General features: G+C 45.9%; 1 protein-coding gene and 1 long non-coding RNA gene across 7 annotated transcripts in view, besides 2 other annotated features; one reads left to right on the top strand and one right to left on the bottom strand.

Moving 5' to 3' along the window:
* LRP8 (LDL receptor related protein 8) overlaps positions 1 to 21,843 on the top strand; it is an 85,707-nt gene that overhangs the window by 57,223 nt on the left and 6,641 nt on the right. For 2 of the 4 annotated variants that reach the window (NM_033300.4, NM_004631.5), the window contains 10 exons: positions 4,201 to 4,375; positions 6,452 to 6,679; positions 8,284 to 8,402; positions 8,641 to 8,780; positions 10,243 to 10,384; positions 12,377 to 12,529; positions 13,384 to 13,608; positions 15,663 to 15,731; positions 19,986 to 20,158; positions 21,292 to 21,468. In NM_033300.4, the coding sequence (NP_150643.2) occupies positions 4,201 to 4,375; positions 6,452 to 6,679; positions 8,284 to 8,402; positions 8,641 to 8,780; positions 10,243 to 10,384; positions 12,377 to 12,529; positions 13,384 to 13,608; positions 15,663 to 15,731; positions 19,986 to 20,158; positions 21,292 to 21,468 (1,601 nt within the window). The remainder of the gene's footprint in view (positions 1 to 4,200; positions 4,376 to 6,451; positions 6,680 to 8,283; positions 8,403 to 8,640; positions 8,781 to 10,242; positions 10,385 to 12,376; positions 12,530 to 13,383; positions 13,609 to 15,662; positions 15,732 to 19,985; positions 20,159 to 21,291; positions 21,469 to 21,843) is intronic. The other 2 variants (NM_001018054.3, NM_017522.5) reach the window with 2 other exon arrangements.
* On the bottom strand, positions 8 to 19,956 carry LOC105378728 (uncharacterized). Of its 3 annotated transcripts, XR_947355.3 has the most exons (6): positions 16,121 to 19,956; positions 15,593 to 15,751; positions 14,367 to 14,720; positions 4,835 to 5,096; positions 3,691 to 3,752; positions 8 to 2,923 (listed from the first exon to the last, which is right to left on the bottom strand). It is a non-coding gene; the product is annotated as an uncharacterized LOC105378728 (long non-coding RNA). The 3 variants fall into 3 exon arrangements; XR_007066091.1 differs by lacking the exon at positions 3,691 to 3,752; XR_947358.3 differs by lacking the exons at positions 8 to 2,923; positions 3,691 to 3,752; positions 16,121 to 19,956 and having other exon boundaries at positions 4,969 to 5,096; positions 14,367 to 14,497; positions 14,664 to 14,720; positions 15,593 to 15,674.
* Positions 16,554 to 16,771: a silencer, noted in NCBI's record as "fragment chr1:53719749-53719966 (GRCh37/hg19 assembly coordinates)". NCBI's record gives its function as "represses an EF-1alpha promoter that drives an FKBP-Casp9 reporter gene in an ReSE screen in K562 erythroleukemia cells {active_cell/tissue: K562}" and the evidence as "EXISTENCE:reporter gene assay evidence [ECO:0000049][PMID:32094911]".
* Positions 16,961 to 17,064: a silencer, noted in NCBI's record as "fragment chr1:53719456-53719559 (GRCh37/hg19 assembly coordinates)". NCBI's record gives its function as "represses an EF-1alpha promoter that drives an FKBP-Casp9 reporter gene in an ReSE screen in phorbol 12-myristate 13-acetate-treated (for megakaryocytic differentiation) K562 erythroleukemia cells {active_cell/tissue: K562(+PMA)}" and the evidence as "EXISTENCE:reporter gene assay evidence [ECO:0000049][PMID:32094911]".

The raw sequence follows: 21,843 nt of genomic DNA, 5'->3' as shown, positions 1-21,843 counted from the left end.
CAATTAGTAACATAAGCCGAAGGTTTATTAAGGAGATAAGAGTACAATCTAAGACAGGAGCAGGCTGACCCAGCTGGGAGCAGCAGCAATAGCTGTGTTTCTTTAAAGGGACAGTGCACTCTGAAAGGTGACGCAGAGTGGGGGCAGCCTGCTAAAAGAGAATGAACCAGCGGCAGCCCTAAGAGTTCTGCATTGGGTTTTTTTCTTGAAGTTCCTGTCTCTGTCCTAAATCTCTGCCATTTTCTTTGTCTAGTTTTCCCATTCCTGCTTTAAGTCCCTGCCTGTTCCTCACCTAGTTCCCACCCAGGCTTGTGGGACCTCCCCTTACTATTAGCTTGTGTGCATGCCCAGCTCTGGGCACAAATACTACCTAATGGTGCCATCACTCGTTACCACCACCCTAGGAAGGTTGTATAGCAGTCAAATCTGATTGGGCCTGCATATTTCTTAGGGATTTCCCCTTTGCCCTTCCCCTCCTCCTCAACATGCAGCTAGCTACATTCTGATGGGAGAACTGCAGAGTGAGCAGTTTCTGGGCATCTTAAGGGGCATTCCTTTCTGCAGAGGCATTTCCCCTCCTCTCTGCTCATATCTAGCATGAATGTTTTGGGTGGTCTCTAGGTGTGAGATTTTCTAGACTTCCCTTTTCTCAGGGACTCCCCCTTCTGCTCATGTCCAGCTGTCTGCCTACTCTAGCAGTTGCACACACAGTGCTCAAAAGTGTACATACACATCACACACACAACGCACTGCACACTAACACCCACACAGACACTGTATAGAGCCACCCAATATAGCCCACAGAGATGACACTCATACAACAGAATATGAACCACACAGAGACTACACACACAGCATATGGAGTCCACACAAAGAGCACGACCTGGGCAGACCTACACATTGATCAATTCAGCCAGCAGAATTAATTCATTGTATTCAGTTGTTTATATTGAACACCTAACATTGTAGTAGACACTGGGGATTCAGCAGTAAGCAAAACAGATGCAAATCCCTGTCTGCCCTCAAGGGACTCATATTCTAATGGGTGAGCCAGGCTAGAAATCAGATAAATACATAAAATATAGTGCATGGCAGATGGCGATAAGGGCTAAGGAAAAATAGAAAGTAGAGAATGGGAATAGGGAAGTCCAGGTGAGCAGGGGGTTCTAGTTTTAAATGGAATGGTCAGGGAAGCCCTCACTGAGAAGGTATTTGAGTAAAGAAGGTGAAGGGGGGTGGGTGTGGTGGCTCACGCTTGTAATCCCAACACTTTGGGAGGCCTAGGCAGGAAGATCACTTGAGGCCAGGAGTTCAAGACTAGTCTGGGCAATGTAGTAAGACCCTATATCTAAAAAAAAATTTAAAAACTAGCCAGGTATAGTACCATGCACCTATAGTCCCAAGCTACTCAGGAGACTGAGGCAGGAAGATCCCTTGAGCCTGGGAGTTTGAGGTCACAGTGAGTTATGATGCCACTGCACTCCAGCCTGGGTGACAGAGTGAGACCTTTTCTAAAAAAAAAAATAATAATAATAATAAATAAAAAGGGAGTGAGGGAGGTGAGACAGTAAGCTACCATGCAATTATCTATAGGAACAAGCATTTCAGGCTGAAGAGACAGAAACCGCAAAAGCCCTAATGCAGGAGCATGCCTAGTATGTTCAAGGAATAGCAAGGAAGCTGGTACAGTTGGAGCAAGGAAACTAGGAAGAGATGAAGCCAGAGAGGTGGCTTGGGGCAGCCCAAAGGGCCTTCTAGACCATTGTAAGAGCCAGCTCTGGATTTCACTCTAACTGGGGGGAAACCATTGAGGGCTCTGAGTAGGGAAGGGACATGGTGTGACATTTTATTCTGACTGCAGTATTGAGAACAGACTGTAGAGGACAAGGGAGAAGGCAGGGAAACCACTTAAGAGGTCATTGCAATAATCCAGAAGCGAGGTGATGGTGGCTGAACCCTTATTCCCACATTATTACTGTGGGAATAATGAAAAGTGGACAGACTGCAGATATAGTGCAAAGGCCAGCCAACAGGATTTGCTTATGAATTGAATGTGGAATGTGGAAAAAAAAGTTACAGCAACTGAAAAAATAAGATTGCTACGTATGGGCTTGGGAAAGATGGTGAGGGAAGCAGGTTTGGAGGAATCTTAGGCTGTTTTGGACATGTTATGTTTAAGAAAACTGGTTAGGTATCCAAGTAGAGATATTGAGAAGGCAGCTGGATATATGAGTCTGGAGTTCATATGCAAGTTAAATACAATATACAACAGATAAATTATAACAATACAGCAGCCATAATACTGACATGTAGCCCATAAACCCAAAAACTGTAACACCCAAACTGTACAATATGTAACTCATACATTAGTATATCACATATAACGTGTAACCTGTTCTTGCCCCCATATAGAACACATGTAATACATGACACAGATTATGTACATGCACTGGAGACAACATGCAACTACCCATGCATATACAAAATCCACACACATGAATATTTCAAGTGCAGTTACATAAAATCTCAAATCATAAACACAGGGGGTTCCTGTCACAGTCACAGCTGTCATTTAAGATCACTCCAACATGCCCCTTTAACCTGGCTCCTGCCTTCAGGGAGGTGAAGTGTCATTACTGTCATTTTGGGGTGAGGGAAATCACAGCTTGTCAGTGGCAGAGCTGGCCTGTAACTCAGCTTTCATCCTTGCCCCTTCCTGCACCTTGAGCCCATTCTCCATGCTATTTGTACCACACTTCTGTCTCACTCCCACCCTGCTTTGAATTAGTCTCCATCACTACACACAGGTCACACACCCAGCCCCAGGCCCTACCTGACTCTGTGCTGGTCCCATCCTCCAGGGAGCACATTAGCTTGGCAAAGATGCACAGTGACAGGGACTGGTGGCTGGCAGAAGTGTCAGCTGGAAAACAAGAGAAGGAGGCACAGGGAGCTTGAGGGGCAGGTGTTACTAGGAGCAGCCCCTCAGACAGTGTTGGTGCCTGAGAGTGGCCCAATACATCTAGAAACAGCCTGTGGGAGCTGGTGCTAGGCCCTCAGAGGCCCATGGGACAGTGTCCTCCCATATGGAGTAGCCAGGAAAGTCTAGGTCACTTATTTATCATCTTAAAATCTAACCCTAAATCTAAGAAAAATACAGGTTTTGTGTATACATGAGCAGTTTATGTTGTCTCTACTGCATATATATAATCTGTGTTGTATATCATATATGTCCCATCTCTGCCATTGGCTCAGGATAGAGAACAAACTCACCCAGCTCATAGGACCTTTTGTGATCTGGCCCCTGCCAATCTCTGAAGCTCATCTCTTGCTATGTCCCCAATACTTTCTATCCTGAATCATCTTTTTTTTTTTCCTTTGAGACAGAGTCTCTGTCACTCAGGCTGGAGTGCAGTGGCACAATCATGGCTCACTGCAGCCTTAACCTCCCGGGCTCAAATGATTCTCCCACTTCAGCCTCCTGAGTAGCTGGGACTACAGGCATGTGCCACCATGCCCAGCTAATTTTTTTTTTATTTTTATTTTTAGAGATGGGATTTTGCCATATTACCCAGGCTAGTCTCAAACTCCTGGCCTCAAGCGATGTGCCAGCCTCAGCCTCCTAAAGTGCTGGGATTACAGGTGTGAGCCACTGTGCCTGGCCCCTAGTTATCTTTCTAAGACACTTACTTGCTCAGGTAGTTCCTTCTTGAACCACAGCAGTAGGGCCCAAGCAGAGAAGATGATAGTTGCTGGAAAGAAATACATAGTAGGTGGAAGGGACAACCTGAGCAAAGGCTCTGAGGCAGGAAGCCCATCCATGGCTAGGTAATGGTATCTGGTAGGTGGAATCAAGCTATGTTGGAGAGGCGAGTAATGAGGCTGGACAGGGAACTTGGGGTCACACTGTGGAAGGCTTTCAGTGCAGGCCTAAGGAGAAAATGGGGAGCCATAAAAGATTTTGGAGAAGTTTGTATCTAATAAAAAGAATAAGAATCTTCCTGCTATGCGTGGTGCTCTGCATCTTCTGCTTTCTGTACTCATTATTTCATCTGCTCCTGCAACCTGTAAAGTAGGAATTGTCACTACTATTTTAAGGAAAATGGATGTGTCAGCCAGCAAGCCAGTGGCAGAGTCTTGGTCTCCAGGCTCCCTGCCTCTTGCACTGACTCTTTCTCTTTCAACCTCCCTGCATGACAGCTGGCAAGAGCCCATCCCTAATCTTCACCAACCGGCACGAGGTGCGGAGGATCGACCTGGTGAAGCGGAACTATTCACGCCTCATCCCCATGCTCAAGAATGTCGTGGCACTAGATGTGGAAGTTGCCACCAATCGCATCTACTGGTGTGACCTCTCCTACCGTAAGATCTATAGGTGAGCGGCCATATCCTCTGCAGCAAGGCATGAAGAGTGGGGGTGAGGGGTGGTGACAGGTGAGGAGGGGAGGAGTGGTGTCTGCCTCTAGAGCTCCTCAGGACAGAGTTGGGACTTGGGAAGAGATGCAGGATCACAGTGGATATGGAACTTCTGGGACTTTACTGGGGCTGGAGTAGTCTGAGGGCTCCCTTGGGTTAGCAGCTTTGAGCCCCAAACACCTGGGATTTGTCTGACCTCTGGAGGCCTAATATGGAAGCACAAGACACAGGAACTGTTTGGCCAGGGCAGAAAGGAAGAAATCCTGGCTTTGGGGAGGACTTTCCAAGCAGCTCACATCCCTGTGTGTTGGAACCTGGGGACTTAGACCTGGTCCCTGCCCAGAGGATCCCACTCACAACACAGTGACATCCATTTGTGATGATCATGAGAAAGTACAGAGGAGGCCTCCGAACCCACCTGGGCATCTGATCTGGCATGCCTTCCTGGATGGCATCACCCCAAGGCCAGCTTTTCACTGTCTTTGACGCCACAGTCAGTGGACCTGGTGCTTGGGAAGCTCTTCACACACTGGAGGAGGTTCTCTCCTAGGACTTTCTCAGATGCCAGCACCTGCCCCACTGCATGTCTGGGCCCTCTTCAGGCAGTCATGTCCTTTCTTTGTCCTGAGATCCACTTGGCAGGAATGCCGATGACCAGGCGCTGGGTAGACACTGAGTCACTGATGAAAGAATGATGGGACAGATGGGTGGAAGAGTGGATGGAAGCAAATATAGCAAGTGCTACTCACTGACAACTAGATTCCTGCCTCCCTGCAACATACAGACACTCCGTTCACACACACCCAAAAACATAACTAGAACAATGCCTGTCCAAGAGATGTAACTGAAAGAGGCAGGATTTGGTGACAGACTAGATATGGGGCTGATGGAAGAAATTTACTCCTTCATAGTGAATTTTGGGAGTTTCAGGTTTTTGGCTTGGGAGGTTTCATGAATGGTGGTGCTGTTCTCTGATGTGTGAAGCAGTAGAGGAGGATCAGGGCTCAGGGTTTGGGCCGTCTGGTTGGCCGAGGGGAAGGGAATGGGGATGAACAGTTTTGGACATATTGAGTTCAAGGTGTCCATGGGACATCCAAGGGGAGCTAGTTAGCTTTGCAGTCTGGATCGTAAGAGAGCTGTTGGGATTGGAGACTTAGTTATTGATGGCAGTGGACACTAAGGAACTAATCACCCAGAGAGAGGGCAAGAAGAAGAAAACCTCTGGGGAAACAGCATTTGCTATTTTGCTAATGTTGCCTCCTGAGTGTCTACTGTATTCTTAGCCCTTCTTTCCATTCTCACTGGCACGGTCATTCTTCAGACTCTCTTAATCTCCCACCCAGATGCTGTAACGTCCTCCTAACCAGTTTCCCTGCTTCATTCCCTCTCCTTCCAACCCATCCACTCCATAGATGCCACAGTGAACTAACATGCTTATTGGACTATATCCTCTGGCCTGTCTAGTTATCACTGGGGAGAAATCCTAATTCCTTGGCGTGGTACTCAAAGCCCATCAAGATGGGGTTCCTGCCTACACCTGCTTGCAGTCTGACACCCACATAAGCAGCTCCCCTAAGTATCTCACTGTTCCAGAGCAGACTCACCTCTGGCCATTTGCACAAGCCTTTCTTGTTCCCTAATGGCTTTCTGTCCTGGTGACTTCATGCTCCTGGTGAACTCGTCCTTCAGGACTCAACTATAAAGCCTTCTCCCGCCCTCTCGGATGAGGCAGTCTCCATGCCTCTGCTGCCATAGCCTCTAATGCTTTCCATAATCACATTGTATTATATCTGGCTCACCCTAATGGGCAGAGCTGTGGAGCAGCCCCACCTTAGAAAGCCAGAGACCGTGGCCCATGTAAGTCTGTACCCCTACCCTGGTACCCCAGGGAATGTGTAGAGTGGAAATTATCCACGTTCCTCTAAAAATCTATTGCCATGGCCCAGATGGAAGAGAGGGGAAGGGTGCACAGGTAGCTCCAGATGGGCCCATGGGTGGAACATCTGCCCCATGGTCATCTCTGTTTTCTCTTAAGCGCCTACATGGACAAGGCCAGTGACCCGAAAGAGCAGGAGGTCCTCATTGACGAGCAGTTGCACTCTCCAGAGGGCCTGGCAGTGGACTGGGTCCACAAGCACATCTACTGGACTGACTCGGGCAATAAGACCATCTCAGTGGCCACAGTTGATGGTGGCCGCCGACGCACTCTCTTCAGCCGTAACCTCAGTGAACCCCGGGCCATCGCTGTTGACCCCCTGCGAGGGTGAGTGTCCCAACTGAACTTCCCATTCTCCCACCATAGGTGCTCAGTCCTCTTGTGTCTGTCACAAGGGCTATCTTGAGGGTTCTAGAAAGCTCTGGGCCACTCAGACACAGGCCATGGGGAAGAAAGTCTTGTTAATCCCCAACCAAGGTTCTCTGGGCATTGGTCACCAAAGTTCTCCCTGGACTCTCCCACCCACTCGTTATATCGTAGAATTGGAGTGTCTCAGAGCAGAGTAGGGCTCTAGAGATGGCCTGATAGAAGCTCCTGGGGGAGGAAGCCTTTCTTCAGGCTGCTGTAGGTGAGCATCTGACAGCTGCTCACATACTTCCAAAGACAGGTAGCTCATTACCTCCCATAGGGCCTGTTTCACCGTGGGGCAGCTCTGCTCATTAGAAAGTGGGTCTTTTCCCCTCATAATGCCAAATCTATCTCCCTGCAACTTCCTCCATTGGCCTCTGGAGTTACATAAAACATGTCTATTCCCTGCCCTGTGAGAGAGCCAGCAAGATTTGAGGACCAAGATCACTGGTCTGTTCTGCTTCAGACTGCCTGCCTCCATCCCTACCCCTGTTGCCTATGGTCTCTGGGCCCTCACCACCTAGGTTGCCCTGCTCTGGCCACCCCTCAGTTTTGGGAGTTAGGGATTCTGAACAGAACAGGACTCCCTCTCTCCCTCAGTGTGGATATCTTGAGATGGTTTTTTTAGCGTTATATCATGTTAAGTTTAACAGAATCAACAGCTGCTTCCTACTGCTATTTCCTTGTTAAACAGGGATAAGAAAACCCTCTTCTTCGAGCAAGGGCAGCTGGTGAGGGGAGTACCACATGGGAGGTTATGTGAGGCCTTGGGAAGTGACTGATAGCTGCCATTCACTAAGCATGGGTCAGGTGCTTCCAGCACAGAACTAGGCACTCTGACAGATACGGAGCCTCTCCTCTTACCCTCACTTCATCCCTGTTCTCTGTCTGTTCTCATGCAGACCTTGTGTTGCACCTGCCACATCCTGTCCCTCACATCATAGAGTTACACCCAGCCCAACCCCAATCCACTGCGGATCGTCAGGGTCCCAGGAGGAAACCCACTGCATACTCAAGATAATCAGAGGAGGGTTTAATAAAGGGACTATTTACAAAGGAGTGGGTTAGGTCTAATTTACTACCTTGGATTAGTAACAGTGGGCTGCTACTGGCCCTAGTAGGCCTGAGGAGACAAAAGCAGGGAGGGTTACCTGAGTTAGGAAGCTCATCCACTTTCTCCTCTGAAACCAGAAAAGAGAGGGCTTACTAGGGCCTTCCCCACACTGACACCCTAGGGCTCTAGTTAGTTAGCACTGCCAGAAGTGGGAGAGATGGGGTCACAGGCTATTCAGCTGAGTCTGGGTGCAATCTCGGAGAATAGTTTTCCTCAAGTTCTCAAATGAGGTGAAGGCTAAAGTGCCTGCTAAATCTAAGATTTGATGGTTCAAAAGAACTTTAGAGGTCTTCTCAGTCCCTACTAAACATAAACCACAACTAGTCAATGGGTTATTGAGCTCTTGTGACTCAGACCACCCCGGTCATGTCCCCAGCAAGAAGGCAAATTGGGTTATTTTGTCTTTTAGGTTCATGTATTGGTCTGACTGGGGGGACCAGGCCAAGATTGAGAAATCTGGGCTCAACGGTGTGGACCGGCAAACACTGGTGTCAGACAATATTGAATGGCCCAACGGAATCACCCTGGGTGAGCCCTGCCTTTCCTGGGTTGGGGGCCTATTCTAGTGCCTTGTCCTGATCACTGTCTGGAACTCCATGAGTCTTGTTTCTGGGTCCTCTCATGGTGCCAGTGACTTTGTTTCCTAATGGTTGCCGTAGGCTGGCCTCAGTGTGAGGCCTAGAAATGTGGGCAGGGAGAGGTACAAAGGAACAGAGCTCCAGACTGGGGTCCCAGGTTCATGACCTGATCCTGCTTCCTTCCCAAGATCTGCTGAGCCAGCGCTTGTACTGGGTAGACTCCAAGCTACACCAACTGTCCAGCATTGACTTCAGTGGAGGCAACAGAAAGACGCTGATCTCCTCCACTGACTTCCTGAGCCACCCTTTTGGGATAGCTGTGTTTGAGGTGAGTCCTGTAAGGAGAGGCAAGGGCCCACTAGGAAGCTGAAGCCTAGAAAATGCTTGTTCAAATAGGATGAGTCCCTGAGACTTGTTCAAATGAAAACAGGAACAGGGAAACCAACTGATTTGTTTGTAAACAATCTGTGAGCTGCCTGCACACAAAGGCTCTGCAGCCCACTCTCCACCTGGCAGCCTTTCCCACGCTCTCTTCCCAAGACCCCTCTCCCAGAGCACTTCTCACAGGTGAGCTGCTAGGCATGTATGTTTCCTCTCTGTGCCCTCAGCACCCAGCACTGTAACCCATATACAAAAGGCACCCAGTAAAGGGAGGAAAGGAAGAAGGAACATACATATCCTTAGAATCATTTACTGGAGGAAATGGCCTGAGAGATGCTGTTCAATTCTGCACACTTTTATTGACCTCTGCCAGACCCTGGGGTCATAGAAGTGAATCAGACACTATCCTAGTCTCAAGAAGCTCCCAGCAAAGTGAGGAGCGAAGACCCTCCTGTGCCCTGACCCTAATGACTTTTCTTCTCCGGGAATGAAGAAGCCAGAACCAACCAAGGTCTCACACCTTCACCTCTTCCCGAAAACTAACTCCACCACCAAGGGGAGGGAAAGCAAAGGGATGATGGTCTGTGGTGGGCATTGGCAGGATTTGCTTGCAGCAAAGTTACTCAGCACTGCTCTGAAGTTGTGGGCAAAGCTCCACCTCTAAGTCCAGCCCCTGCTTTAAAGGACAGGTGTGTTGGTACACAAGTGTTTGTGCTTGTTTATATACATGGCATGTACATGTAAAGTATGTGTATGTGCATGGGTAAATATAAATGCATCAGAATAAAAGTGTGCATTCCTCTAAGTGCTGGTGCTTATGTGTGTACATACATATACCAAGATGTATATAGACTGCATATTTAGGGGCAAATGTAGCTTTTTGTGTGTGGATGAACATTTGGGTATGTGTTTAGATCTGTGTATGAGGATGCACAGTTGTACCTGTACGTGTGGATTTGCTGACAGATGCACATCTAGGCTTATATGGACTAACCATGTGGACTCGTGTGGATACCCAGAGGCTACAGGAAGCCCAGCAAGGCATAACCCTCATAGCTCACACATTCCTTCCAATCTTGGTCCCAGGCCCCAGTAATGATAATGCTATAGAGATTTAACCTTGGGTTTCTGCTGGGCTCTAGCAAGCAGGCTTAGTTCAGCATGAATGAGTAATGTTGTGGCTGTCAGTTCAAAGCACAGAATCACTGAATAATCCTCTAAGATAGAAGGGAACAAGGAGACGTGCATCACAGATTAGAGGCTGAGAGCCCCACCGTGAATCCATAGACAGGACAGATCAGGGGAGATTTCAGGGAAGTTCTTGTGACTATGGTTTGGGGCCAACCCCTCAGACTGAGGTCATGGATTTACACTCCAGGCCTCCCATCCTCTGCATCTATACCCCACAGGACAAGGTGTTCTGGACAGACCTGGAGAACGAGGCCATTTTCAGTGCAAATCGGCTCAATGGCCTGGAAATCTCCATCCTGGCTGAGAACCTCAACAACCCACATGACATTGTCATCTTCCATGAGCTGAAGCAGCCAAGAGGTGAGCTGTCTCTGGTCCTAGGTCCCAGGTCCCCTGACTGTGTCACTGTGTCCTCTCCTTTCACCAGGCAGGCTGTGTTCACATTCAGGTCACAACTCAGCAACCCCAGGAATAATAACAACAATCCCTCTTGTTGGTAGAGTACTTTTTCATCATATATTTTGTCTCATTTTACCTCAAGTTCTTTGTGAAATAAGGCTGGGTATAAATGAATACATAACTGTCCTGTTTTTGCCAATCCTACAAAGTGTGGGTATTACTCTTCTAACAGTTGAGGAAACGGAAGCTCAGAGAGGTAAAATAATGTTAGCAGGTGGCAGAACTGAAACCTAAACCCAGGTCTATCTGGTTCCACAGCTGCTTTCACCATGACACACTGCATCTAACTTGCTATTTGTAGCCATTCTGCAGTAGTATAAGCTAATGTATCCGAGGGCCATATAATAAGTCAGCTTATTGGTTGGGAATAGAATCTAGGAATCCTACTACTAGGTTGTCCCCTCCTCTATCACTAGGATACATTAATTCTAACTGTAACTGAAGTGTTGGCTGCCAGGGTGAAAGAGGGAGAGCAAGGGAGTGTAAGGAGCTAAGATTGGTGCCTGATTCTAGACCTAGAAATTTAAATGAGAGACATAGTATGTGGCACAGGGAAAAATAAAAACCGCGGGCTTATGGGCTTTGGAGCCCAGCCGACCTCAATTTAAGTTCTATCTCTAGTCCAGACATGGTGGCTCATGCCTGTAATCCCAACACTGAGAGGCTGAGGCAGGAGGATCCCTTGAGCACAGGAGCTCCAGGCAGCAGTGGGCTATGATTGCATTACTGCACTCCAGCCTGGGCGACAGAGCAAGACCCCTACCTCTTAAAAAAAAAAAAAATTCCTAGAGTATAGGTTTGACGAATTTGTTCTCTTTGAGCCTAGGTGTCTTTATTTGTCAGTCTGGGATGTAACGTCCCCACCTCTCAGAATTGTTGCAAGGATTAAATGAGAGTGTAGGGATAAAACACTAGGTATGGTGCTGGAAAGTACCCAATAAAAGTAGTAGGGAGGCCAGGCATGGTGGCTTATACCTGCAATTCCAGCACTTTGGGAGGCCAACGCAGGAGGATCACTTGAGCCCAGGAGTTTGGGACCAGCCTGGGCAAGAAGGCAAGACTCTATCACTACAAAAACTATAAAAATGACCCTTGTATGGTGGCATGCGCCTATAGTTCCAGCTACTCGGGAGGCCGAGGTGGGAGGATTTCTTAAGCCCAGGAGTTTGAGGCTGCAGTGAGCTATGATTGCACTGCTGCACTTAGTCTAGGCAACAGAGTGAGACCCTGTCTCAAAACATAAAACATAAAAAAAATTGAAAAAGTAGAAGGGCTTCACAATTGCAGAGATGTGGAACCAACCTAAGTGTCCATCAACTAATGAGTGAATAAAGAAAGTGTGGCATATATACACCTTGGAATACTACTCAGCCATAAAAAGGAACAAAATAATGTATTTTGCAGCAACTTGGATGGAGCTGGAAGCCATTATTCTAAGTAAAGTATGATAGTAGTGGAAAACCAAAAACTATATGCTCTCACTTATAAGCAGGAGCTAAGCTATGAGTACACAGGGGCATACAGAGTATAGCTAAGCTATGAGTACACAGGGGCATATAATGGACTTTAGAGACTAAAAATGGAGAAGGTAATAGCGGGGCTAGAGATTTAAAAAAAAAAAAATTACACATTAGGTACAATGTACACTACACTTGGGTTACAGGTGCGCTAAAGTACCAGAATTCACCACTATATAATTCATCCATGTAACAAAAAACGTGTATCCCAAAAGCTTTGGGGGATAAAAAAAGAAAGAAAAAGAAAAAAAATGTGAAAAAAAAAGTATAGGGCAAGCTTTTTGAGCAAGCCAGGTGGGAGAAGCCTCATCCTCAGGAGGCAGGAAGACCTGGCATGTCCTGTCTGTGCCCCAGCTGTCTCCCTCTCTGCCATTAGCTCCAGATGCCTGTGAGCTGAGTGTCCAGCCTAATGGAGGCTGTGAATACCTGTGCCTTCCTGCTCCTCAGATCTCCAGCCACTCTCCCAAGTACACATGTGCCTGTCCTGACACAATGTGGCTGGGTCCAGACATGAAGAGGTGCTACCGAGGTAAGCAGACCTTCCAGGAGGGATGGCCCCTGGCAGTGTCAGACCCTACCCTGCTGAAATCTTCCCTTGGCTTCTGGGACACAGTATGCTGCTGGTTTTCTTCCATCTTCCCTGGTTACTTGTTGCCTTTTGGGGGTTTCTCTTTTTTACCTTCCTTGAATGCTCATGCCCCCAGGATCCTTCCAAAGCTTTTTCTCACTCCCAAGGAAAAAATGCACATATACATAAAACATTTTAAATTCAGTTTCAGGGAGTTTCTGGAACGCTTTAAAAACCTCAAGTTAAGAACCCTTAATCGCCGTGGCTTCAGGTACATGCAGATAACTATATATTTGCCTGTTTCTCACCTAGAACTTAACAAACACTACACAGCAGCCCTTTTGCAATATAATTGGGACTAATAGTTAATACTTCAACCGCATACACAGATTCATGTCCTAATCTTGATGTATAGCCAAGGCCTTTCATTTGAGCCTAAGTCTACTGCATTATTAATGATTTACAGGTTCAATTGTTTAAAGTGGAATAAGAATTTCAATCTATTGGTATAACAATATATGAGTGTAAAATCCTTCTAGATTTATCTGATTTCCCCTCCCTACAGTCTTTTTATTGCTGATCTTACAACTAATTCCACAGCAATGTTTTAATGACTCATCTTTATTGAATCAAAGTGAAGTGCTTAGCATTCAGCTAAAGAAAAGATCATAGCCCACTGGGGAGATTAGGAAAGGCTTCACAGAAGTGGCATTTGAGCTACGCCATGAAGATAAGTTCCTAAGTATATCTCAGAGGCAATACCTTAGGCAACAAAATTATCTGTCCAAGTGACCTCCATGGTATTTCCCCTCCAGCACCTCAATCTACCTCAACTACGACGTTAGCTTCTACCATGACGAGGACAGTACCTGCCACCACAAGAGCCCCCGGGACCACCGTCCACAGATCCACCTACCAGAACCACAGCACAGAGACACCAAGCCTGACAGCTGCAGTCCCAAGCTCAGTTAGTGTCCCCAGGGCTCCCAGCATCAGCCCGTCTACCCTAAGCCCTGCAACCAGCAACCACTCCCAGCACTGTAAGGAAATGAGTTCTGCATTCTTTCATGACATGGGAGGGCTCCTAGGGAAGCCAGGAAGGGGGTATGTGATAAGACAGAACCTACCAGAGCTGAATACTGCATATCTTTGAGGAGGTTACTGCATATCTGAGAGGGAGGTAGAGTACCAGCCTGCGATTTAGGACTCATAGGTGCCCCTACCTTACAGAGGGTCTTGTAGGAAGCTGAGACCCTGTGAGCCTCAGTTGCTTCTCTTACAAAGTGGAAATAACCACCCTTCCACAACCTGCTTCACAAGATTGCCATGATAGACAAAGGTGTAACCGGTATAACTGGAGGTGCTCACGCACACAGCCGTTGCTGACTCTGCGAGGGTGTGTGTGTCTATGTTTCACAAAGTTCTGATGTGTATATGAGGAGGTGTCCCTTGTGTTTGGAAAGCTCTGATCTCAGTTCACAGCAGGTCCCCAGATAGTAATATCTACAACCATGGTCTCCTTATACCTCTTTCCAACCCTGGGATGAAAATAATTAAGTTCACCACTTATTAAATCATTGGGAGCAGTAATTGTCACTGCTAGAAATGTTCTATCTCATTAATCAGCAAATACCTTTTTAATTGAGTTACCTGCCAGAGGGAGTTCATTTAAAAGGATAAACTATCTTTTTAATTTTTTCCCCTACATGGACAGCCCAGAAACCAAGCTGCTTGGCAACATCTTCCTAACTGGTCCTATTTGCCAGCAGAAGCTGGCTTTTTGGAGTGGAGCACTTACTCCGAAGTTTGCAGAGGCAGATGGAGCATGTGTGAATTCCAGTTCCTCTCATCTGAGGGCAGAGCCTCTCACCAGCTTCTCCTCACTGGCTTCCTCATGCTCTAGGTTTTAATATCACTGTCCAGTGTTCGCTGTGGCCCAGAGCAGGGAGGACAGCAGGGAGGACACAGTTAGCTCTGGAAGCAAGCAGTGCAGCTTTTTCTCCCCTTAACTGTTAGATTCTCTTGGAGTAACATGGATAAACAGTCACATTGAGAGAGGATGGGCCTTGGGCCATTGCCGGGACAGTCATCTCACCTGCAGCAAGTGTAGATGATAGCTCCTTTTCACACCACAGGGAGCTGTCAGGAGGATCTAAGGGAAAAATGCTTTCTGAACTATAAAGTGCTTCACAAATGTTACAATGAAGATGGTTATAAGAGTGAGAAAGATGGCATGGCATAGTTTTTCAAAAAGACAGTAAATTTTCCAAGCACTTTTCAGTTTAAAATGTGCTTTTACATATCTTTTTAAAATTTAGACCCTATTCAACAACCCCATCCCACTCTCCACCCTCTTAGAACTAGGCAAAGTTGTGCCAAGCATTTTATATTCATTTTAGATAAATTATTTCATTTAATCCTTACCATATCCCTAGGAGGTAGGTAATATCACCATTTTAAAGATATAAAAGTATAATACCATGTGCTGTATTTATAATATATAATAATTTGCCCAAGGTCACATGGGTAGTGAGTAGTAGAGCTGGGACTTGAACCCAGAAGTCTGACACAGAAGTCTGCGCTTTTGATTCCTCTACACTATACTATGTCCCATTTCAATTACTTATGAAAAATAATCTGATAATGCAGATGGACAGACAGTTCACAAAAAACAATACTGGCAAAGCAACAGATACTGATGGAAAAAGGCAAATGACCTAGTCCATCAGCAACATAAAGACCTAAGTGCTCACTTTGCCATGCACAGCCCCCAGCTTCCTACTACCATGATGCTATGGAAAGGGTATGGGACTTGGGACATGAGTCCTGGGTTCAAGTCCCAGCTCTGCCACTTTTCTGAAACCCCTCAGTTAAGACTCAGTTTCCTTGCCTGTAAAATGGAGATAACCTCTGTCCTGCTTGCCTCACAGGAGTTGTGATAGGATCTGGAAAGACTGAATTATTAGGCAACAGCCAGGATCATCATTTTAGAATGAGGATGAGCAGCAGTTGGGTAGTTCTTACCACTTGAGGCCAGTAGGGGCTTGGACACACAGTGATAGAGCATCATTCTGCAAATGTTTGTGTTTTGCAGATGCAAATGAAGACAGTAAGATGGGCTCAACAGTCACTGCCGCTGTTATCGGGATCATCGTGCCCATAGGTGAGTGTGGCCCCCAGTCACTGAAGAGAAAAGAGAGACCCTGCTTAGGCCTAGGGAAGAGCGCTAGCAGGGTAGAGAACTTGGCCTGCCCTATTGACTTGTTCTGCCCTTGCAGCCTTCCTGCCCACCTCCCAGTCCTGATTTAATTTGGTTTTTTAGCCTAGCACACAAGGCTCTTCAGGACCTGGCCCCAGGTGACCTTCCAGGTACATCCCCCATCTCCCCACCCCTCGATTCACACTCTACACTCCAGCTATGTGAAGTGCGACTGTATGATCCCTAGGAACAGGGCTGGTATCTCTTGCTCACCATTCTCCCCAGCTCCTGGCAATGTCTAGCACATGGTAGGATATCAAGGATTTGTTGAATTAATGAATAGAGCTGCTTACCATTCCTTTAATAGGTCATACTGTCTTGTTTTCTTTCTGTTTGGTTTTCAACAAGTATTTATTAAGCAGCTACTATGTGCCAAACTCTGATAAGGGGAGGAAAGGCAGTTAAAGATGAATAAGACATGGTTCTGTCCTACAAAAGTTTATAGTCTTGTTAGAGAGACCCACATAACACAGATAAGTTCATTACGACCTGGTAGGTCCTAAGGTTAAGCTGCATGCACTGACTTCAGAGACAGTGCTGAGGAAACACTTAACTTGGGCTGGGGGAGGGGGAAGAGGGAAGAGGAGGTTTCCTAACAGAAGTGATATTTGAGCTGGGTCAGCCAAGTGAGGGAGGATCAAGAACAGTCCAAGCAGTGAAGACAGCATGAGTAAAGCCAGGAGTAGGAAATGGCCTGGAAGGGTCAGGGTGGGGTGGGTTTAGAGCTAGAAGGAGATCAGTATGGCCAGAGTATAACACTTTGTTAAGACCTCACAGAGAATCATGGGGGCTGATTCATTCTCTTCCACCCTGATGACCACACGGTATCCTGTACACCCCTCTCTTAGCAGTCTCATCTCGTAGCAGTATCTTTGCATTCTGATTGTCCATTCAGAGCTTTATCTCCCTTACTTGGCTATGAGTACTTCAAGGACAGGAACTTTGTCCTTTTATCCTGGGAATCTTCAGTATGCCGAGTTAGTCAGCAAATGTTTTAAAAACTTCTCCCCTGTGTAAGACACTGACTGTGCCAAGTGCCAAGGATCCAGGGAAGAAAAAAATAAAGACTTTAAGAGCTTTCAGTCTTTAATCAGGCAAAAATAAAGTCCTTTAAGGTAGATGTTAATACATGTCATTATGTGCTATGATAGGGGCATGTTGGATATAGATAGAGACAGAGGAACAATGTAATAGTGGCATGATACTCTTGTGAAGGGATGGTAGAAGGAAAGGTAATTCCAGAGTAAAAGTGGCGCTTCTGGAGAAGACAGCATTTGAATTGGCCTTGAAAGGCTTCACCAGGAAAGATGATGGTGAGGTGATTATTCCAGGATTATTTTGATTGGAGTGGAGAAAGATAAATCTACCCCTTTCTTGCCATCCTTTGCCCTATAGAAAGAGGCAGATATATGCTGTTTTGCTGACATAACTCACTCTGAAATATTCAATATTTTTAATTTCTGCTAATCTGAGGAGTGAAAGATGAGTATTATTTCCCTGACATTTCCCTGTGAGGTAGAGTATATTTTCGTAAGCTTATCAGCCCCTTTACTTATATTTTATCTGTTATGAATCGCCCACTCACAGTCTTTTCTTATTTTTCTATTGGCTATCTTTTTCTTATTTATAGAAATATTTATACATGACAAATATTAAACCTTTAAAATATATGTTACAAATATTTTCTTCCAGTCTGACATTTGGTTTTAAAGTTTGTTTATGGTATCTTTTGCCATGCATAAATATGAAACTTTTAAGTATCAGATTTGTCAATCTTTTAAGATTTCTGGGTTTTGTGTCTTGCTTAAGAAGGCCAGCCTCACTCTAACTTATTAAAATATCTCCTGATGTTTTTCTTTTCTACTTTAAACTTTTTTTTAGTATTAGGATATTAATCTATTTGGAATTTAAATTTTAGAGTATCGTATGAGGTAGAGATTTAACTGTTTTTTTCTCTATATACCTGTCTAGTTTCCCCAAAACCATCATTGAATAATCCATACTTCTCTCCTGACTTGCACGTCATCTTTATTATAAACTACCTCCCATACGTACTTTGATTTGCGTCTAAGCAGTTTATTTTCCTTCACTGATTTATATATTCCTACATACTATTAGCACAACTTCATGATATGTTATGCTCACAACATCTTCTCAGCTATTTTTATTCAGTTTCTCTTCTAGGTGAACTTCAGAATAATCTTATCAATTCTATAAAAATTTTGGTGAAGTTTTTATCAAGATTGTTTTAGATATATGAGTTTATGTGAGGAGAATATACCTTTTTATTATATTAAAGCTTCCCATCCAGAAATGTGGCCTATTTATTTCAGTCTTCTTTTACGTCCCTCAGCAGAATTTTATAGATTACACAGGACTTGCGTATTTCTTCTTAGGTTTTCCTAGGTATTTTATAGCTTTTGATGGGCTATTACGAATGTATTTTTATTCCATTACTTTTTCTTTTTCTTTTTCTTTTTAAGAGACAAGAAGATCTTGCACTCTTGCCCAGGCTGGAGTGCAGTGGTGCGATCACAGTTCACTGCATCCTCGAACTCCTGGGCTCAAGGGATTCTCCTGCCTCAGCATCCCGAGTAGCTGGGACTACAGGCATGCACCACCACACCTGGCTAATTTTTTAAATTAATTTTTTTGTAAAGACCAGGGCTCACCATCTTGCCCGGGCTGGTCTTGAACTCCAGGGTTCAAGCAATCCTCCTGCCTCAGCCTCCCAAAATGTTGGTATTACATATGTGAGCCACTGTGCCTGGCCTCCGTTAAATTTTCTAATTGGTTGTTGCTGATTAAAAAGACGGCTAATGATCTTTTATGTTGATTCTTGATTAACTAAAATTATTTCTGATAGTTTTTCACCAGCTTCTCTTAAGAGTTTCTAAAAATACAAATAGCTGTTAATAACAGTTTGGTTTCCTCCTTTCTCATATGTATTTATTTATTTACTTTTTTTTTTTTTTTTTTGAGACAAGGTCTCACTCTGTTGCCCAGGCTGGAGTGCAGTGGCATGATTGTGGCTCACTGCAGCCTTGACCTCCCAGGCTCAAGCAATCCTCCCACCTCAGCCTTCTGAGTAGCTGGGACTACAGGTGCCCGCCACCATGCCCAACTACTTTGTATTTTTTGTAGAGATGGGTTTTCGCCATGTTGGCCAGGCTGGTCTCGAACTCCTGGCCTCAAGTAATCTGCCTGCCTCAGCCTCCCACAGTGTTGGGATTACAGGCGTGAGCCACCGCACCTGGGCTCCTTTCCCATATTTATACCCTTAAATTTTTTTCTGGCCTTACTGCATAGCTAGATCTCTAAGACAATAAATATTAGCAATGATAACTGCCTTGTTCCTGTCTTTAATGCTTATCAATTATTGTAATCTTACTAAAACAGAAACCCCTTCCATAGCATCCTAGATAGGTGATCATTCAGCCTCCACTGGGATGCTCAGAGTGACTGCTAATCACCTTACAAAGCTACTTGCTCCATTTTTACCCAGCTGTGTTGGAGAGAGCTTCCTCCTTTAATCATTAACATAGTCATTTATTCTAAATCAGAGCTTGTGTTGCCCTCTGTGTCTCCTTCTAGAGATGTTCTTCTTCAGGTGGAGCCTCACCTTTGGAAATAAACACTCTGCCTGGCCCCATCCCACTCTCCACCCCCCAGTTTTGGGAGAGAATCGTTTTCTTAGAGAAATCTAGGGAAGCAGCAGCATTAGGGCAAAGGTGTGGTAAAATTCACTCATTCATTCAGCACATGTTACTAGGCACCTAGTCAGTGCTAGGAACTGGGCGTAGAGAGTTTAAAAACAAAAAAAAGACACAGTCCCTGCCTTGAAAGAGCTATCTAGTTGGGAGTACAGATACATAAAGTAAGATACTGTGTGTGATCTGGGAGCACACATGAGAGAGCAACTGACTCTGCCCACAGTTGGGGAAGACTTCACATTTGAACAGGATCTTGAAGGATGAATAGTTAGTAAAGGAAAGAAGGGATGAGAGATGGGCTTTCAAACAGCAGTAAAAGAACATGCAGAAACAGAGCCTGAGGAGCAAAGGGTAGTAAAAGTGGAGTGGTGACAAGCCTTGTACAGATGTCTGAGCAGTGGGTTGGAGCCTGCTGGAGGTCCAGTGTCCTGTGTCCTTCCTCCAGTGGTGATAGCCCTCCTGTGCATGAGTGGATACCTGATCTGGAGAAACTGGAAGCGGAAGAACACCAAAAGCATGAATTTTGACAACCCAGTCTACAGGAAAACAACAGAAGAAGAAGACGAAGATGAGCTCCATATAGGGAGAACTGCTCAGATTGGCCATGTCTATCCTGCAGTAAGTATTTCTCACTGGGAGAATTCCTACCTTCCGACCATCTTCCCTTCCATCCTTTCTTCCCCTCCCATCCTTTCTTCCTTCCCATCCTTTCTTCCCTCCCTTCCTTCCTTCCGTCCTTCCCTCCCTCCTTTCCTTCCGTCCTTCCCTCCCTCCCTGTCTTTTTTCTTTCCTTCTTTCCTTCCTTTCCTCCCTCCTTCCCTTCCTCCTTCTTTCCTTCCTCAAACATTTATCAAAAACGCACCATGTATCAGGCACTGTTCTAGGCCCTGGGGAACACAGAAATGCTGGGGTAGGTGGTTAAGGTAAAAAGGTATCAGGACCACCTTGTACCTAGAGGCTCTTCCTGGCAGTAAAAAAAGCCAAATGTCTCTCTTTCTGCTCAGTAAATTTTCAGAACCTTTAGCCTGGAAGGGTAACTGTGGCCATTTAATTCAAATGTATTCATTTCAATACTGTATGCCAGTTATGTGCCAAGCACCACATTAGATATCAAGTATTCAAAAGTCAATAAGGAACATGCTTGCTCCCAAGAAGCTGGTAGGGAGTTAGAGATACTAACATACAGTGGTATAATTGTGTGCTGAATGCCGTGGTGGAAGCTCAGGAGTCCCCTCTTCTAGAAAGCTATCTTTGGCTTGCTTTGTTCTCCCACAGTACTCTGGGCCTCTCTACCTCACAGCCCCTGTCACACTGTAGTCCACTTGTCTTTTACTCAGTGGTCTCCTCACTAACCCATAAGATCCTTGAGGGCAGAACTGTCTGATTAATCTGTTTTCCTGATGCCTAGCACGGCATGGCTGACTCCCAACAAATATTTGTTGAACAGATGCCATGGAAACATCAACAAGGGAGCTATTAATTCTGTCTGGGGAATCAGGCAAGGAATGCCTCACAGAGAAGGTGACAGATGGACTATGTCCTTGAAAGATTAATAGCAGTTTTCCCGGGAGAGAAGGAGGGAAATGGCATTCCAGATAGAGGCATGTGCAAAGGCTTGAAGGTACAACACAGCATGGCTTTTTGGGGGAATGAGGACCACAAAGTGGCACAGCAGGTGTCACTGTTATACAGCACAGTCAGGGGGCTGAGTGTGACCTCAGAGGTCATCCACAGTGCCATCCCCCTGTCAGGCAATCAGCAGCTTTGATCGCCCACTGTGGGCAGAGCCCTGTCTTGGGGAGACCAGAGAACCGGAAGACCCAGCCCCTGCCCTCAAGGAGCTTTTTGTCTTGCCGGGGGAACCAAGGTCACAGCTGCACCAACTCCCGAAGAACCCTCTTTCCGAGCTGCCTGTCGTCAAATCCAAGGTAGGGCAGTGCCACTCTAAGTCTGAGGGGCTGGTGAGTGAGGGCATGAACCAAGGCAGGCGCAGCCAATCCTAGAAGGCTTTCTGGTTTGGGAAGGCTGCAAATTGTAAGCTGGGTGTTGGGGCAAAGAAGAAAAATGGGTTAGTCACAGACCAATGAATGGCATGTGGAAGAAAGCAATCAAGTTTGGGGCAGGGCAGACAGAATTGCTGCTGAGGCAAACTGTTCATGAAGGGGAGACATGGGAAATGAGATGGAGCAAATGAGGAGGGTTAGCAGATGGCCTTGAGGATCCTTAACCTCGGCCAGTCCAAAAAAATAGTTGCTTGACCAGTTTTTGAAGATCAGAGGGAGCACAGTGGAAGAAGCACTGAA

The sequence above is a fragment of the Homo sapiens genome, chromosome 1 (genome assembly GCF_000001405.40).
Source record: "Homo sapiens chromosome 1, GRCh38.p14 Primary Assembly".
NCBI lineage: Eukaryota > Metazoa > Chordata > Mammalia > Primates > Hominidae > Homo > Homo sapiens.
The sequence above is the reverse complement of the archived record's forward strand: the minus strand, read 5'-3'. Positions and strand labels throughout refer to the sequence as shown.